Here is a 19,401-nt window from a genome sequence, read left to right on the forward strand (position 1 = left end):
ACGCATTCTCCATCCAGTTTTGTTCCATTGCTGGCGAGGAGTTGTGATCCTTTGGAGGAGAAGAGGCATTCTTGTTTTTGCAATTTTCAGTCTTTTTGCGCTGGTTTCTCCCCATCTTCGTGGATTTATCTACCTTTGGTCTTTATTGTTGGTGACCTTTGGATGGGGTTTTGGTGTGGACGTCCTTTTTGTTGAAGTTGATACTATTCCTTTCTGTCTGTTAGTTTTCCTTCTAACAGGCCCCTCTGCTGCAGGTCTGCTGGAGTTTGCTGGCAGTCCACTCCGGACCCCATTTGCCTGGGTATCACCAGCAGAGGCTGCAGAACAGCAAAGACTGCTGCCTATTCCTTCCTCTGGAAGCTTCATCCCAGAGAGGCACCCGTCAGATGCTAGCCGGAGTTCTCCAGTATGAGGTGTCTGTCGACCCCTGCTGGGAGGTTTCTCCCAGTCAGGGGGCACGGGGTTCAGGGACCCACTTGAGGAGGCAGTCTCTCCCTTAGCAGAGCTCGAGCGTTGTGCTGGGAGATCTGCTACTCTTTTCAGAGCTGGCACGCAGGAACGTTTAAGTCTGCCAAAGCTGCACCCACAGCCACCCCTTCCCCCAGGTGCTCTGCCCCAGGGAGATGGGAGTTTTATCTATAAGCCCCTAACTGGGCTGCTGCCTTTTTTTCAGAGATGCCCTGCCCAGAGAGGAGGAATCCAGAGAGGCGGTCTGGCTACAGCGCTTTGCCAAGCTGCAAGTGGGCTCCACCCAGTTCGAACTTTCCTGTGTCTTTGTTTATGCTATGAGGGGAAAACCGCCTACTCAAGCCTCAGTAATGATGGACACCCTTCCCCCCACGAAGCTGGAGCGTCCCAGGTGGACTTCAGACTGCTATGCTGGCAGCAATAATTTCAAGCCAGTGGATCTTAGCTTGCTGGGCTCCGTGGGAGTGGGATCCACTGAGCTAGACCACTTGGCTCCCTGGCTTCAGCCCCTTTCCAGGGGAGTGAACAGCTCTGTCTCACTGGCATAGTGCATAAAAATATGTAGTACCATATTTTTAAACAGCTTTCTTGCAATATACTTTACAGACAATGAAATTTACCCATTTTAAGGGTAAAATTTGATGAATTTCAGTAAATGTGTAGAGTTGTGCTACCATCACCATAATTAAGCTTTTAACATTTCCATTACCTCAAAAAGTCCTGTCGTGCTTGAATACAGTTAATTCCTGCTTCAGCCTTGGCAATCACAAATGTTTTCTGTGTCTATGTATTTACCTGTTTAGATGCTTTATATAAATGGAATCGTACAATATTTGTTCTTTATTGTTTGGCTTCCTTCGCCTGGTTATGATATATAGTCAAGGTTCATCCATGGTGTAGCATGTGTCATAATGTCATTCTTTCTAATGGCTGAAAAATCTTGTATGAATAGACTACATTTTTTATCATTTATCTATTGATAGTCATTTGGATTATTTCTAGTTGTTGGCTAATATGAATGACAATTCGACATACATTTGTGTACAAGTTTTCAGGTAGACTTATGTTTTCATTTCTCTTGAGTATGTACCTAAGAGTGGAATTGCTGGTAACTCCCTGCTTATCCATTTGAGGAACTGCCAGATGACTTTCATGACCCTGACAGTCATGAGGAGTACAGGCTTAGCCAGTTGTTCTTATTGTGATTAGACCAGGATTATGTGTTTTGAGAAAGAATACCATTGATTTGAAGTGCCCTTCTTGTAACATTATATCTGGTAGTCAGGATGCCTACTTAATGTCACTGGTGATGTTAAACTTCATCATTTAATTAAGCTGGGGTTTGTCAAGTTTCTCTAGTGTATAGTAACTATTTTCCATGTGACTAGAGAGCATATGGGAGAAGGAAAACACTCCAACGTTTCTAATTTCACTGTGAGTCAGTGTCATTTCTGTGTGGTGGAATGAGTGCCCGGATGGTGCTGGGGAAGGGAAGAAGGGGATTCCACCATTTCTTTTTTTTTTTTTTTTTATACTTTAAGTTTTAGGGTACATGGGCACAATGTGCAGGTTTGTTATATATGTATACATGTGCCATGTTGGTGTGCTGCACCCAATAACTCGTCATTTAGCATTAGGTATATCTCCTAATGCTATCCCTTCCCCCTCCCCCCACCCCACAACAGTCCCTGGAGTGTGATGTTCCCCTTCCTGTGTCCATGTGTTCTCATTGTTCAGTTCCCACCTATGAGTGAGAACATGTGGTGTTTGGTTTTTTGTCCTTGCGATAGTTTGCTGAGAATGATGGTTTCCAGTTTCATACACATCCCTACAAAGAACATGAACTATTCATTTTTTATGGCTACATAGTATTCCATGGTGTATATGTGCCACATTTTCTTAATCCAGTCTATCATTGTTGGACATTTGGGTTGGTTCCAAGTCTTTGCTATTGTGAATAGTGCCGCAATAAACATACGTGTGCATGTGTCTTTATAGCAGCATGATTTATAATCCTTTGGGTATATACCCAGTAATGGGATGGCTGGGTGAAATGGTATTTCTAGTTCTAGATCCCTGAGGAATCGCCACACTGACTTCCACAATGGTTGAACTAGTTTACAGTCCCACCAACAGTGTAAAAGTGTTCCTATTTCTCCACATCCTCTCCAGCACCTGTTGTTTCCTGACTTTTTAATGATCACCATTCTAATTGGTGTGAGATGGTATCTCATTGTGGTTTTGATTTGCATTTCTCTGATGGCCAGTGATGATGAGCATTTTTTCATGTGTCTTTTGGCTGCATAAATGTCTTCTTTTGAGAAGTGTCTGTTCATATCCTTTGCCCACTTTTTGATGGGGTTGTTTGTTTTTTTCTTGTAAATTTGTTTGAGTTCATTGTAGATTCTGGATATTAGCCCTTTGTCCGATGAGTAGGTTGCGAAAATTTTCTCCCATTCTGTAGGTTGCCTGTTCACTCTGATGGTAGTTTCCTTTGCTGTGCAGAAGCTCTTTAGTTTAATTACATCCCATTTGTCAATTTTGGCTTTTGTTGCCACTGCTTTTGGTGTTTTAGACATGAAGTCCTTGCCCATGCCTATGTCCTGAATGGTATTGCCTAGGTTTTCTTCTAGGGTTTTTATGGTTTTAGGTCTAACATTTAAGTCTTTAATCCATCTTGAATTGATTTTTGTATAAGATGTAAGGAAGGGATCCAGTTTCAGCTTTCTACATATGGCTAGCCAGTTTTCCCAGCACCATTTATTAAATAGGGAATCATTTCCCCATTGCTTGTTTTTGTCAGGTTTGTCAAAGATCAGATGGTTGTAGATATGCAGCATTATTTCTGAGGGCTCTGTTGTGTTCCATTGATCTATATCTCTGTTTTGGTACCAGTACCATGCTGTTTTGGTTACTGTAGCCTTGTAGTGTAGTTTGAAGTCAGGTAGTGTGATGTCTCCAGCTTTGTTCTTTTGGCTTAGGATTGACTTGGCGATGTGGGATCTTTTTTGTTTCCATATGAACTTTAAAGTAGTTTTTTCCAATTCTGTGAAGAAAGTCATTGGTAGCTTGATGGGGATGGCATTGAATGTATAAATTACCTTGGGCAGTATGGCCATTTTCACGATATTGATTCTTCCTATCCATGAGCATGGAATGTTCTTCCACTTGTTTGTATCCTCTTTTATTTCATTGAGCAGTGGTTTGTAGTTCTCCTTGAAGAGGTCCTTCACATCCCTTGTAAGTTGGATTCCTAGGTATTTTATTCTCTTTGAAGCAATTGTGAATGGGAGTTCACTCATGATTTGGCTCTCCGTTTGTCTGTTGTTGGTGTATAAGAATGCTTGTGATTTTTGTACATTGATTTTGTATCCTGAGACTTTGCTGAAGTTGCTTATCAGCTTAAGGAGATTTTGGGCTGAGACAGTGGGGTTTTCTAGATATACAATCATGTCATCTGCAAACAGGGACAATTTGACTTCCTCTTTTCCTAATTGAATACCCTTTATTTCCTTCTCCTGCCTATTGCCCTGGCCAGAACTTCCAACACTATGTTGAATAGGAGTGGTGAGAGAGGGCATCCCTGTCTTGTGCCAGTTTTCAAAGGGAATGCTTCCAGTTTTTGCCCATTCAGTATGATATTGGCTGTGGGTCTGTCATAGATAGCTCTTATTATTTTGAGATATGTCCCATCAATACCTAATTTATTGAGAGTTTTTAGCATGAAGGGTTGTTGAATTTTGTCAAAGGCCTTTTCTGCATCTATTGAGATAATCATGTGGCTTTTGTCTTTGGTTCTGTTTATATGCTGGATTACGTTTATTGATTTGCGTATATTGAACCAGCCTTGCATCCCAGGGATGAAGCCCACTTGATCATGGTGGATAAGCTTTTTGATGTGCTGCTGGATTTGGTTTGCCAGTATTTTATTGAGGATTTTTGCATCAATGTTCATCAAGGATATTGGTCTAAAATTCCCTTTTTTGGTTGTGTCTCTGCCAGGTTTTGGTATCAGGATGATGCTGGCCTCATAAAATGAGTTAGGGAGGATTCCCTCTTTTTCTATTGGTTGGAATAGTTTCAGAAGGAATGGTACCAGCTCCTCCTTGTACCTCTGGTAGAATTCGGCTGTGAATCCATCTGGTCCTGGACTTTTTTTGGTTGGTAAGCTATTGGTTATTGCCTCAATTTCAGAGCCTGTTATTGGTCTATTCACAGATTCAACTTCTTCCTGGTTTAGTCTTGGGAGGGTGTATGTGTCGAGGAATTTATCCATCTCTTCTAGATTTTCTAGTTTATTTGCATAGAGGTGTTTGTAGTATTCTCTGATGGTAATTTGTATTTCTGTGGGATCGGTGGTGATATCCCCTTTATCATTTTTTATTGTGTCTATTTGATTCTTCTCTCTTTTCTTCTTTATTAGTCTTGCTTGTGGTCTATCGATTTTGTTGATCTTTTCAAAAAACCAGCTCCTGCATTCATTAATTTTTTGAAGGGTTTTTTGTGTCTCTATTTCCTTCAGTTCTGCTCTGATTTTAGTTATTTCTTGCCTTCTGCTAGCTTTTGAATGTGTTTGCTCTTGCTTTTCTAGTTCTTTTAATTGTGACATTAGGTTGTCAATTTTGGATCTTTCCTGCTTTCTCTTGTGGGCATTTAGTGCTTTAAATTTCCCTCTACACACTGCTTTGAATGTGTCCCAGAGATTCTGGTATGTTGTGTCTTTGTTCTCGTTGGTTTCAAAGAACATCTTTATTTCTGCCTTCATTTTGTTATGTACCCAAGTAGTCATTCAGGAGCAGGTTGTTCAGTTTCCATGTAGTTGAGTGGTTTTGAGTGAGTTTCTTATTTCTGAATTCTAGTTTGATTGCACTGTGGTCTGAGAGACAGTTTGTTATAATTTCTGATCTTTTACATTTGCTGAGGAGTGCTTTACTTCCAACTATGTGGTCAATTTTGGAATAGGTGTGGTGTGGTGCTGAAAAAAATGTATATTCTGTTGATTTGGGGTGGAGAGTTCTATAGATGTCTATTAGGTCCACTTGGTGCAGAGCTGAGTTCAATTCCTGGGTATCCTTGTTGACTTTCTGTCTCGATCTGTCTAATGTTGACAGTAGGCTGTTAAAGTCTCCCATTATTATTGTGTGGGAGTCTAAGTCTCTTTGTAGGTCACTAAGGACTTGCTTTATGAATCTGGGTCCTCCTGTATTGGGTGCATATATATTTAGGATAGTTAATTCTTCTTGTTGAATTGATCCCTTTACCATTATGTAATGACCTTCTTTGTCTCTTTTGATCTTTGTTGGTTTACAGTCTGTTTTATCAGAGACTAGGATTGCAACCCCTGACTTTTTTTGTTTTCCATTTGCTTGGTAGATCTTCCTCCATCCCTTTATTTTGAGCCTATGCGTGCCTCTGCACTTGAGATGGGTTTCCTGAATACAGCACACTGATGGGTCTTGACTCTTTATCCAATTTGCCCGTCTGTGTCTTTTAATTGGAGCATTTAGCCCATTTACATTTAAAGTTAATATTGTTATGTGTGTATTTGGTCCTGTCATTATGATGTTAGCTGGTTATTTTGCTCGTTAGTTGATGCAGTTTCTTCCTAGCCTCGATGGTCTTTACATTTTGGCATGTTTTTACATTTGCTGGTACTGGTTGTTCCTTTCCATGTTTAGTGCTTCCTTCAGGAGCTCTTGTAGGGCAGGCCTGGTGCTGACAAAATCTCTCAGCATTTGCTTGTCTGTAAAGTATTTTATTTCTCTTTAACTTATGAAGCTTAGTTTGGCTGAATATGAAATTCTGGGTTGAAAATTCTTTTCTTTAAGAATGTTGAATATTGGTCCCCACTGTCTTCTGGCTTGTAGAGTTTCTGCCGAGAGATCCGCTTTTAGTCTGATGGGCTTCCCTTTGTGGGTAACTTGACCTTTCTCTCTGGCTGCCCTTAACATTTTTTCCTTCATTTCAACTTTGGTGAATCTGATGATTATGTGTCTTGGAGTTGCTCTTCTCGAGGAGTATCTTTGTGGTGTTCTCTGTATTTCCTGAATCTGAATGTTGGCCTGCCTTGCTAGATTGGGGAAGTTCTCCTGGATAATATCCTGCAGAGTGTTTTCCAACTTGGTTCCATTCTCCCCGTCAGTTTCAGGTACACCAATCAGACGTAGATTTGGTGTTTTCACATAGTCCCATATTTCTTGGTGGCTTTGTTCATTTCTTTTTATTCTTTTTTCTCTAAACTTCCCTTCTCGCTTCATTTCATTCATTTCGTCTTCCATCACTGATACCGTTTCTTCCAGTTGATCACATCAGCTCCTGAGGCTTCTGCATTCTTCACGTAGTTCTCGAGCCTTGGCTTTCAGCTCCATCAGCTCCTTTAAGGACTTCTCTGCATTGGTTATTCTAGTTATCCATTCGTCTAATTTTTTTTCAGTTTTTAACTTCTTTGCCATTCGTTTTGAATTTCCTCCCGTAACTCAGAATAGTGTGATCGTCTGAAGCCTTCTCTCAGCTCTTCAAAGTCATTTTCCATCCAGCTTTGTTCTGTTGCTGGTGAGGAGCTGTGTTCCTTTGGAGGAGGAGAGGCACTGTGCTTTTTAGAGTTTCCAGTTTTTCTACTCTGTTTTTTCCCCATCTTTGTGGTTTTATGTACTTTTGGTCTTTGATGATGGTGACGTACAGAAGGGTTTTTGGTGTGGATGTCCTTTCTGTTTGTTAGTTTTCCTTCTAACAGACAGGACCCTCAGCTGCAGGTCTGTTGGAGTTTGCTAGAGGTCCACTCCAGACCCTGGTTGCCTGGGTATCAGCAGTGGTGGCTGTAGAACAGCGGATCTTGGTGAACCCGAAATGCTGCTGCCTGATCGTTCCTCTGGAAGTTTTGTCTCAAAGGAGTACCCGGCCGTGTGAGGTGTCAGTCTGCCCCTACTTGGGGGTGCCTCCCAGTTAGGCTGCTCGGGGGTCAAGGACCCACTTGAGGAGGCAATCTGCCCATTCTCAGATCTCCAGCTGCATGCTGGGAGAACCACCACTACTCTCTTCAAAGCTGTCAGACAGGGACATTTAAGTCTGCAGAGGTTACTGCTGTCTTTTTGTTTGTCTGTGCCCTGCCCCCGGAGGTGGAGCCTACAGAGGCAGGCAGGCCTCCTTGATCTGTGGTGGGCTCCACCCAGTTCGAGCTTCCTGGCTACTTTGTTTACCTAATCAAGCCTGGGCAATGGCAGGCGCCCCTCCCCCAGCCTCGCTGCCGCCTTGCAGTTTGATCTCAGACTGCTGTGCTAGCAATCAGCGAGACTCCGTGGGCGTAGGACCCTCCGAGCCAGGTGCGTGATATAATCTCCTGGTGTGCCGTTTTTTAAGCCTGTTGGAAAAGTGCAGTATTAGGGTGGGAGTGACCCGATTTTCCAGGTGCCATCTGTCACCCCTTTCTTTGACTAGGAAAGGGAACTCCCCGACCCCTTGCGCTTCCTGAGTGAGGCAATGCCTCGCCCTGCTTCAGCTCACGCACACTGCACTGCACCCACTGTCCTGCACCCACTGTCTGGCACTCCCTGATGAGGTGAACCCAGTACCTCAGATGGAAATGCAGAAATCACCCATCTTCTGCGTCGCTCAGGCTGGGAGCTGTAGACCGGAGCTGTTCCTATTCAGCCATCTTGGCTTCCGATTCCACCATTTCTATTCAACTGAATCATGGACCCCATGAATGGAGTTTGGGGTAAGGGAATGAAATCACCATACACCCCACTTCTTCCTGTTTCCCGGGTTTTCCTGTCCCCTTGTATTACCGCCAGTCTGCATGAGAGATGTGTGTTTCCTTTGCAGTCCAAAGGGGCTTGATGAAAGCCTCATACTGTCTGCTGTTCGGGACACTGGAGCAAGAGAGACCAGAGATCTCTCTGCATATTGGTGCCAGACCCAAACCAGTAACTGTGAGATGTTCTGGGCTCAGGGGTAAGTAACTTCCCCTGCTAGCCTCTCTTGGAGAGTGCATATTTCTGTTATGTGGGAGCTTCATTGCTATGTGGTAGAGTAATGGTGAGGCACACAGAAGCAGGTAGAGATGGAGCGCCTGGTGGGTGAACCAACACCCAGGGCACAGGCTCCAGGACTTGTGCTGCCTGATCCACCTTTCTCATGGTCTAGATCTTCCCATCGTTCTATCCTCTCTCAGGGTACCTGGGATACCTGTGTACATCCCATACTATCACAAAGAGCAGGAGACAAATGAGGTGGGGAAGGGAGCAAAGACAGAGAGAGGTAGAGGTGATCCCTGGAGGGCCTGCTGTTTTCTATTCTCTTCACTGCTCTTTCTTGTTCCACATGAGGTTATATTTCTTTATTTCACCCCACAGTTAACCTCAGAGACCTGGTAATCCATATGACCCCACAGCTATGCCTCATGCCCAAAGGGCAGGATTTCATCTCTACCATCCTCTTCCTCAATGTGAAGGGCTGTTGAGTGAGTACCCTTAGGGAACAATACTGGGGAAGTATAAAATTATCATCCTCCAAATAAGAAGCTGCTGGTTCCATTGTGTGGGAGGGTAGGAGATAGAACCTCATTGCCATTCTGCCAGTTATCTGGAGAGGGTCTTAGTATCTGTGAGCCAGAGCTTGATCATCTGTGAGATGGAACTCACCACACTTTCTTCACACTGCTGTCCTGATGGGTAAATGGAATAAACCATATATTTTTATACCATTATCTTAGTCCATTTAGTGTTGCTATAAAGGAATATCTGAGGCTGCATAACTTATAAAGAAAAAAGTTTATGTGGCTAATAATTCTGATGGTTGGAAAGTTTAAGATTGGGCATCTGCTTATGATGAGGGCCTCAGGAAGCTTCCACTCATGATGGAAGGCCATGGGGAGCCAACTTGTGCAGAGATCACATGGCGAGAGAGGGAGAAGAGAGATGGGAGGTACTAGGCTTTTTTCAACAACCAGCTCTTGTGGCAACTAATGGAGCAAGCACTCACTCATCACAGCAAGGATGGCACCAAGACTTTCATGAGGGATCCACCCCCATGACCCAAACACCTCCTGTTAGGTCCCACCTCCAACATTGGGGATCAAATTTCAACATGAGATTTGGAGGAGTCAAACATCCAAATTGTAGCAAACACTTATTGAAATTATTTCTTCTGAAAATGATGTTTCTGAGATGTCGTTAAATAAGGTGACTTTGGGGCTATTTTGATATTTTGGCCACGCTGCCATGACTGTTCTTGCACACATGCCAGGGACTCTCTGCAGTGCAGACTTGAGAGGGCAGAGTTGACGGGGCCATGCTTGCTTCTCTCATATATGTTCCCCATTGTCTCTGCAAAGGCAGTCCACCATTTTGTTCTCCTGCTGCAGTGTATGTCATTCTTATGACTCCACAATTTCCATTTAAACAGGACACAGCATAAACACAAACTCACTCATCAGGTTTTCTCATCAAACCCTAGGACTATTCAAGGACATATTCTGAGGCATAAAGTGGGACTATTATGTTTGCATTTAGAAATGCACGTGTGAAATATGCCATTTATGTGGAAATAGGTGGAGAAAAATGAAAAGTATTCTAACATTACAGTGATAGGATATTACATTAGCAAATATTAATAATATTGGGAAACCCATTATTGCACAAATCTAGAGAAACAGGTGCTCTCATCTTGTAGTTGGTTGGGATATTCATTAGTAAAGAGATTTTAACTTTCAACTAGGCAGTATATATTAAAAATAGTCATGCTCTTTGACAAAGAATAACCATTTGTGGAAATGTATCCTCCAGGTACAGCATGGCAGATCATTATCACGCGTGTGTCCCCACTGCTGAGGGCTGAGCTGACCATTTCCCTAGCTGGTTTGCTACCTTCAGCCCCACCCGCCTTCCTGACCCTGAGCTATCCATCCTTCCAACCAAACAGGAGAATCTGTCTCATGGATGGATGCCCAGCCTCGATGAACCATATACAGAGCTTCTCCAAACATGGATATGAAGCAATGCTTAGGTCCCTACTCCCAGAGGGACCTGTAGACCTCTGACCTCATCCCTGTCCAGGAGAAACCTCTCTTCTTCTCCCTTCTCTGTGTCCTCAGAACCCTTCCCCTCCCTGCCAGATACAAGCAGCCCAATCCTTTCCTTAAGTTTAAATTTTCATGCAGGATGAAGCAAACACTGGCTTCAGACAGCTTCTGCATCCAGCCCTGCTATAAACCCTTCCTGAGACAGAGGGAAAGAGGCCCAAGCCTGGTTTTCTGCTGGAAATGCAGGAAGGGTAAACACAAGGAGAACAGAGATTAAACTCCTTAACAGTATATGTCCTCATGCTAAAGATCTGCCACCAGCAACTCAAGGTACCCAAGCTGGCAGGTTCTGGCAGTGGGCCTGGCTCTGGCAATGGGCGTGCTGAGCAACATTTTTGCCATCCAGCTCTGTGGTTAGGAGCATGTGCTTTGTAGTCGCAGACATCCATGAAGAAGAGAGGATACTGGTACCTCAGTAGCAGGGCTGTCATGAGATCAAATCCAGACACTAGAAGGACCTGGAGCTAGGCTCCTCTAAACGCTCTGCTCCGTAAGTGGAAGCTATCTTTCCTCCCTGGAGCAGGGAACTCATCTATTAATTTGACCTGCCTCCATGTCCAGGGCTTCTTAACCAGGATGCATATCAGAGTCACCTTGATGAGCCTTTTCTAAACCCTCAGCTGAAACTCCTTTGTTGGTAGAAATAGGACTGCTGCACAAAGGCCATTCAAGTCATTAAGCTGTAATAATATGGGCCTCAGAAAATGTATACATCAATGTTGCACCAATAGTGTATATGAAAGTCTGTCTCCCCTTTATTTCACCAGCACTAGGTATTACTGGTTTTTGTCCTTTTTTTCAGTCTTACCTGCTCATTTTCCTTAGACTTGCCTCATTGGAAATATTATGTCAGAAGGTCAATAAAACTTACATATCCAAAGGCTACACCGTAGGGTTGCCAGATTTTGCAGATAAAAATATGAGATGCCCAGTTGAATTCAAATAAAATAATATTGCATGCCACATCCAGAGTCACATATCCAATACAGTATGTGTGTGTGTATGTATGTATGTATCTATCTACCTATCTATCTAAATAGAGGGTTTGGGGAGAGACTGATTTATTTTCAGAAATTGGCTAGCATGATTATGGTAGTTGGAAGTCCCCAAATTTGCAGGGTGTGTTTGCAGACTGCAGACCAGTGAAGAGCCAATGTTGCAGTTTAATTCCAAAGGCCATCTACCAGCACACTTCCTTTTGCTTCAGGGGATGTCAGTCTTTTTTTTTCTATGCAGACTTCCAGTTGATTAGATGAGGCCTACCCACAGTATAGATGGTAATCTGCTTTACACAATATCCAGAAATTTAAATTTTAATCTCATTCAAAAACACCAAAGAAACATCCAGAATAATGTTTGATGAGCTATCTGTGTACTTTAGCCCAGCCAAGTTGACATATAAATATAACCATCACACACTAAAATATTATTCATTATTTATCTGGAATTAAATTTAACTGAGTGTCTTCTATTTTATCTGGCTACCCTACCCATGGAGGACTCTGTGTCAAACCAAAGTGTTCCAGGCAAAACCCCAGCTTTGCTGGAGATACCAGTACCAGTCATCATCCATGTGAGTGAGCCTCTTGGATGTCCCAGATGTGTGGAGCATCCATATGACTGCATCCCCAGGTGACAGATACCCCATGAAGCAGAAAACGCCCAGCTCAGCCCAGTCAACACACAGAATCCTGAGCGATAATAGATGGCTATTTTGGGGGACAATGGTTAAGGAGAAATATATATGCAAAACATTAGGGTTTTGGTGAGCTTTCCCTCTTTTTCTGTGATCTGTTACTGAATAAGAAAGAGATTCTCTTATCCTTGAAGGCTTGGTGGAACTTAGTTATAATTTTGACTATAATCTGAGTGTTGGTTTATATGTGGATAGAGATTTGTGGACATATCATTGATTCCTACTTGAAGAGATTTCCAATGGAAATTTTCACAATGTATAAATTTTCCACTACTATTGGAATTTGGAGCCTAATACCGTAAGATGAGCCTCTACTACAGTCACGTAAATTAAGGTGTTGAGAGTGTGTTGCTACAAACCACTTCATACTATGCAGCCATAAAAAATGAGTTCATGTCCTTTGTAGGGACATGGATGAAGCTGGAAACCATCATTCTCAGCAAACTATCGCAAGGACAAAAAACCAAACACCGCATGTTCTCACTTATACGTGGGAATTGAACAATGAAAACACATGGACACAGGAAGGGGAACATCACACACCGGGGACTGTTGTGGGGTGGGGGGAGGGGGGAGGGATAGCATTAGGTGATATACCTAATGCTAAATGACGAGTTAATGGGTGCAGCACACCAACATGGCACATGTATACATATGTAACAAACCCGCATGCTGTGCACATGTACCCTAAAACTTAAAGTATAATAATAAAAAAATAAAAAATAAAAAAACCTCAGAGGTTGGCTTAGTGAGTAACGATTCCAAACAAGGGATATTTCTTCACATTTCTCCTGCTACAGGGAATACCCTTGGCAAGAAAGTCACTTTTCTTGAACACACCTAGACAGGGCTCCTTCAGGAGACAGCAGGCCATTATGCATTGCAATCCTTGGCATTTGTGACTGTCCCAATGCAGCACTGCTTTGTGGATACTGTCAATTCTGGGGCTCATTCGTAGCCCATGTGACAGCAAATCTAAGTCACATTCTCCAATATCACCTTAATAAGAAATAAAGCCCATGTAATTTTAAAATTATATATCTTGGTTTAGTGCTAAGACTTGGAGCAGTGGAGTACTTGGTGGGGGCTGGGGGTGGGGGAGGTTAGAGATTCAAGCATTGTAGGCTGGGCGCAGTGGCTCATGCCTGTAATCCCAGCACTTTGGGAGGCTGAGGCAGGTGGATCACGAGGTCAAGAGATCGAGACCATCCTGGCCAACATAGTGAAACCCTGTCTCTACTAAAAATACAAAAATTAGCTGGGCATGGTGGTGCGCGCCTGTAGTCCCAACTACTTGGGAAGCTGAGACAGGAGAATTGCTTGAACCCAGGAGGCGGAAGTTGCAGTGAGCCGAGATCGCGCCAATGCACACCAGCCTGGTGAAAGAGTGAGATTCTGTCTCAAGAAAAAAAAAAAAAAGAGATTCAAGCATTGTAAAGCAAGACCATAGGAATAACTGGGGAGCCAGTGAGACACAGAAAGAAGAATAGACCTGTGGGCCTCTTGTAAGATCCCCTCCTGTTGGCAGAGCAGAGTGAGTGCCTCTGAAAGGCAGCTTACTACCAAAAGTTTTGAAGGAAGGACTCCAGCTGAGCAGCATGTTTCTCCTCCCAAAGGAGTGTGCAGAGAGACTAGAAATGTTTTGGTTGCAAATGGCCATTCACATGGAATAAAATATTGGGATGGGGGATAAAGACTTTGTCAAGACAAACCATTGTATGATTGAATTGATTAGGTTTTTGCCTACTAAATGACTATATTATTCTAAGCCTGATTCCCTGAAATAACTTAGAGATATCTTAAATGACATATTTTGGTGTCCCTAGGTTGTTTAGTCATATGATTATAAACAGTCTCTCAGTTTTCTGCCACAGATACCTAACTGCCTAGCATGGTGTGTGAGTTGTACATGTTCCCTCCCTCAGGGCTAGCTCATCGTCTAGAGCCTTAGGATACCGCCCTGGGTCTCTATGTAGTGATAATACTCCCTCAAGGTCACTTTTAAAGCAAACAAAATTCCCAACAACACGGACTTCTGTCCTTTATCAAATAAGGCAGAGTTCCACCAACTGCCTGGGTCCCAGTCTAGTTTCTTTTATTGGTAAGCTTTCTCAGGCGGTAGTCTGAAGAGTGAAGGTTTTTTGCTTTCCGAGAAAGGCAAGAGGACAGAGGGTGGTGTGGAGGCAGCATTTCCGAAGTGGAGGACAAGCCTGTACATCTCGGTTGCCATAGAAACCAGACATAATAAGGGTGACTGTGACGACTTTTCAATAGAGACTTACATGGCCTGGTGAAAAAAGCAGGGTTGCCTTCAGGTGTTTGAGACTCAACTGAAGATGTAGGGCTGAACTGCCCCGGGGTGTGGGAAGACAAAGGATCCCAGCCAAGTCTCCTTGTTCTTGCTTTGGGACTCGGTGCCCTTGCTGTCTGGTGACAGGACACCACACTTCCCCTCCTGGCCCCGGGAAGTGTGATGTCCTGCTCCAAAGTGTCTCAGAGCTACTTCCCATGTAAAGGAGGAGCGTGAGAGGATGATACAGGCAAAGACTGAGCTTAGTGTCCCCTTCTGTATAATGGGGATAATTATGCTCACCCATAGAATTTCTGGAATTTACTATGATAAAGTAGGTACACGACCATAGCCCTGTGGTTATTGTGGGATCAGGAATGTGTATGTGAATTCAGGCATCTTTTTATTCCTTTTCAGATTTGTTGTTGGGGATAGATAAGGAAAGAAGAAAAAGGCTCTGGTGAGAAACCCATTGTACCTTCTGGATATGATCACTACCCAATTTTATCAGTGTCATTGATCACTAACCCAGTGCCTCGTATGGTGCCAGGCACAGAGTTACTCCAAGAATGTACAATAATGGCTGGATTCTCTTTCTCCCTGTGCAACTCTTCATGCATGTGACTGAACTTATATTAAGTGTCTGAAGGAGGTTCGTTCTGAGGATCTGGGACATGATGGGTGCTGAAGCTTCTACTCAAGATTTGAAGGGCAGCTGTCCTCAGGAGACCCCTGGCACTTCCCTCCATGGTGGGATGTGATGCCTGATTCCAGTGAGTTCATAGAGCTGAACAAAAGTACGTTGTGGAATAGCTCCTGTGAGGTTCACAACATAGTCCGGAAGATGAGAAACTACTTTTTTTAGTAACCTGGATTCCCATCTAAGAGATGCCTTACTTTATCGTAAAGCAATGAGTTGTTCACTTGAGGAGGGAACTTCATGTTTAACATGTATTTGCAACAAATTTACATACATTTTCTGCCTGTATGAATAGTTGTCAGTGATGCCCATGAATTTCTCAGATGGATGTTGAAGTATACAGTTAGAAGGTTAGAAGATCTTCCTAGCAATCTGTGATTACGGTATGCATTCTTCCATGGTTTCTACGTTTTTGTCTATTCTATAATGAAATTTTCTAAGAAGCCAGAAATTAATTAAGTGCTACCTAAAAATATCAAAATGTCAGGTACAAGAATTTGGCATTTTCAAAATTAGTAATTACAATGTAAGTTTGCCCTATTATAATGATACCCAGCTATGTCCAGTAACATAACTAGATTGTTCTGAATACCGTTATTATTTCCCAATAATACAAACATCACAATTTCAGTTCTGTAGTACCTGGCCTACCTACCCTTCCCACTGCCTTGCCCCAGGTAAACACAGCATGCCTGTCACTATACATTATTTTACATGCCTGGAAATATATTTAAATGGAATCATAGAGGTGGTTTCTTTTTTTTTTTTTTATCAACACCTGGCTTTTTTCATTCACTCCACTTATTTTTATATTTATCCATTTTATTGCATTTATCTATTGATATACTTCATTCTTTTTGATTGCTAAATACTATTGCGGTATACAACCACACTAAACATTTTATTATCCATCCATTTGTCGATGGACATTTTGGTTGTTTCTCATTTGGGGCTCTTGTAAATAAAGCTGCTATGAACATTTGTGAATAAGTCTTTTTGTGAAAATATGCATTCTCATTCAAGGGTCAATACTTAGGAGTTCAATCTCTGGATCATGTGGTAGAGGTAAGATTAACATTGTAAGAAATGGCCAAACTGTTTTCAAAGTGGTTGTACCATTTTTCATTCCAATGAGCAGCGTATGAGGGTTTCAGCTTCCAGAAAATTGCCAGTGATTGGTATGGTCAGTCTTTTAAATTTTGATCATTCTTCTGGAATGTAATAGTATCTCACTGTACTTTTCATTTTCTTTCCCTAATTATTAATGATGTTGAATATCTTTTCATATGCTTATTTGACATCTGTATATTTTCTATAGTGGAGTGTCTTTTCAACTCTTCTGTCCATTTATTTATTGGAGTGTCTGTTTTTTCCTTAAGGAGCTTTGTGAGATTTTCTGTATTCTGGATATAAGCCTTTTACCAGATAAATGGTTTCCAAACATTTTCTTCCAGACAAGGGCTTGTCAACAGTATCTTTGGAAGAACAAAGTTTTTAACTTTTGGGAAGTCTAATTTATTGATTTCTTCACCTACAGATTGTAGTTTTGTCTCACTAATGAAGTCTTTACCTAACCCAAAGTCACAAGGATTTTCTCCTGTATTTTCTGGTAGAAGTCTTATAGTTTTAGGTTTTATATGTATATCTATGATCCACTTTGAGTTGACTTTTGTATATAGTATGATATTTGGATCACTGTTTGTATTTGTGAATATAGATAACCACTTCTCCCAGCACAATTTGTTGAAAAGAGTATCTTTGCTCCACTGAATTGCCTTTGCATCTTTGTCAAAAAAACAGTTATCCATGTAGGTTTGGTCGGTTTTGGATTCCTTATTCTATTCCTTTGATCTGCTTTTCTACCTTGATGCCAACAGCACAGTCTTGATTACTGTAGATTTGTAAAGAGTCTTGAAGTCAGGTAGTGTTTGTTCTCTGACTTTGACCTTTTATTCAAAGTTGTTTTTATCAGCTAGATCCATTAAATTTTCACATGAATTTTAGAATCAGCCTATCAATTCCCTTTTTAAAACTTTGGTAAAATTTTTTATTCAGTTTGCATTAAATTTATAGATGAGATCGGGGAGAATTAATATCTTAACAATACTGAGTCTTCTCATCCATGAACACAGTATATTCCCCATTTATTTAAGTCTCCTTTAATCCTCTCAGCAATGTTTTGTAATGTTCAGTATGCAGGTGTTATACAATTGTGGACAGATTATCCATAAATATTTCATACTTTTTGAAGCTACTGTAAATGGCATTATTTTTAAATACAATGCCTAATTACTATATTTTCTCTGAATTATTATATTTTCTCAGCAGCCAAATAATAATAGCTCAAGTTTTTTTTTTTTTTGATTGAAAGCACGGGCCACTTTTTGATGGAAAAAGTATTTGAAAGATGTCTCAGAGATATTCTCCAGAAAAATTAATCATTAAAAGAGCATAGTTCAGTAGATTTCAATTTTATATGTGTGCTTAAAATAAATCTGTTGAAATGCGAGGTTTGCTGTTTTTTGTTGGTGATGGTGGTGGTTGTGGTGGTGGTGTTTTTTTTGGGTTTTTTTGTTTTTTGTTTTTTGTTTTGACAGCATCTTGCTTTGTTGCCCAGGCTAGAGTAAAGTAGTACAATCATAGCTCACAGCAGCCTTAACCTCCTGAGTTCAAGCAATCCTCCCGCCTCAGCCTCTCGAGAAGCTGGGACTCCAGGTGCACACCACCACACCTGACTAACTTATTGTTTACTTTTTTTTTGTAGAGACAGAGTCTCATGTTTCCCAGGCTGATGTCAAACTCCTGGGCTCAAGTGACCCTCCCACCTCAGCCTCCCAAAATGTCGAGATTACAGGCATAAGCCACCACGCCTGGCCAGGTTTTAATTTTTTATCTGCCCACCCACCCACTCAGTAAATCTACATCAATGAATTCCTGGGATCTGGGATGGTGAGAGAGATCAAGTATGTATGTATGTGGGTATGTATGTATTATGAATGTATATATCACTGAAGCTGCCAGGAATGTTTATTGTAAGGGATAGTTGAGGTTAATTACCGTGCATCATGTGAGTCCTATTCAGTTCCAAGCATATATTAGGAATAAGATCAGGGTGGTCATTCATTTTTTTCCCAGCTTTTTTGGGCAAGCATGGTTACCATGATGACTCAGTGACCACTGTGGGATTTGCTGGTACAAACTGAGCATTTATGATTTTTACCTGAATCACTTACAACTATGAGAGTTGTCAAATGTTGCTTTTCTAATTCTGTTATTCCTTCATGAATTATTACTAAGCACTTGAGTGTAGAGATTTCTCTTTCCCTCCCTCCCTCCTTCCCTCTTTCCTTCCCTCCCTCCCTCCCTCCTTCCCTCCTTCCTTCCCACCTTCTTCCCTTCCCACCTTCCTCCCTTCCCTTTCCCTTCCCCTTTCCCTTCCCCTTCCTCTTTCCCTTTTACTTCCCCTTCCCCTTTCCCTTTCCCTTTCCCTTCCCTTCCCTGCTTCCTTCGTGTCTCTCTCTGTTGCCCAGGCTGGAGTGCAGTGGCTTGATCTTGGCTCACTGCAGTCTCGACTTCCCAGGCTCAAACGATCCTCTCACCTCAGCCTCCCAAGTAGCTGGAACTACAGGTACATCCCACCACACCCAGCTAATTTTTTGTATTTTTAGTAGAGATGGGGGTTTCACTATGTTGCTCAGGCTAGTCTTGAACTCCTGGGCTCAAGAAATCCACCTGCCTTGGCCTCCCAAAGTCCTGGGATTACAGGTATGAGCCACTGTGCCTGGCCTCATTATTTATTAATGTACTTATTCATGTTTTTATTTATATCAATGTGACTGTGAGATTCCTATTTTTTTTTCAAAGGGTTACACTCTATTACTATCATTCTGTGCTTTGATGCTCACATTTTTCCAGAATTGGCCAGTGGAAGGATCTTGAAGTTGGTCTCAGTGTTTGCTTGACACCTCCCTAGAATTCTTTGAGCATGTATTTTGCTCTCTGAGCCTGACTGTATTCCCATCTGTGGAAAGGAAGTAATGATACTCACCTCAGAGCATAGCTTTGAGGCTTTGAATAGAAAGTGTCTGAAAATAACAACCTAAAGCTTGTGGTGTCTTGTAGGCCATCAGCAAATGTTCTTCATTCTAACATTGCCTCCTTCACTATGC

General features: G+C 42.0%; 1 protein-coding gene and 1 long non-coding RNA gene across 9 annotated transcripts in view; both read left to right on the forward strand.

The window, feature by feature from the left end:
• The window catches only part of ARMCX5-GPRASP2 (ARMCX5-GPRASP2 readthrough), a 308,717-nt gene that overhangs the window by 269,846 nt on the left and 19,470 nt on the right, over positions 1-19,401 (forward strand). The window contains exon 14 of one of the 2 annotated variants that reach the window (NR_146584.3): positions 14,950-15,615. The gene's annotated coding sequence lies outside the window, so the exon portion shown is untranslated. Of the gene's footprint in view, positions 1-14,949; positions 17,579-19,401 lie in introns of those variants that run through there. The other variant, NR_146587.2, reaches the window with a different exon arrangement.
• LINC00630 (long intergenic non-protein coding RNA 630) overlaps positions 1-19,401 on the forward strand; it is a 195,371-nt gene that overhangs the window by 100,041 nt on the left and 75,929 nt on the right. For 4 of the 7 annotated variants that reach the window (NR_038988.2, NR_146592.1, NR_146590.1 and 1 more), the window contains one exon: positions 14,950-17,578. The exons of 1 other annotated variant lie outside the window; for it this stretch is intronic. This is a non-coding gene — a long non-coding RNA (long intergenic non-protein coding RNA 630). Of the gene's footprint in view, positions 1-14,949; positions 17,579-19,401 lie in introns of those variants that run through there. 2 more of the 7 variants (NR_146589.1, NR_146593.1) reach the window with 1 other exon arrangement.

Source organism: Homo sapiens, chromosome X (genome assembly GCF_000001405.40).
Source record: "Homo sapiens chromosome X, GRCh38.p14 Primary Assembly".
NCBI classification, from domain to species: domain Eukaryota; kingdom Metazoa; phylum Chordata; class Mammalia; order Primates; family Hominidae; genus Homo; species Homo sapiens.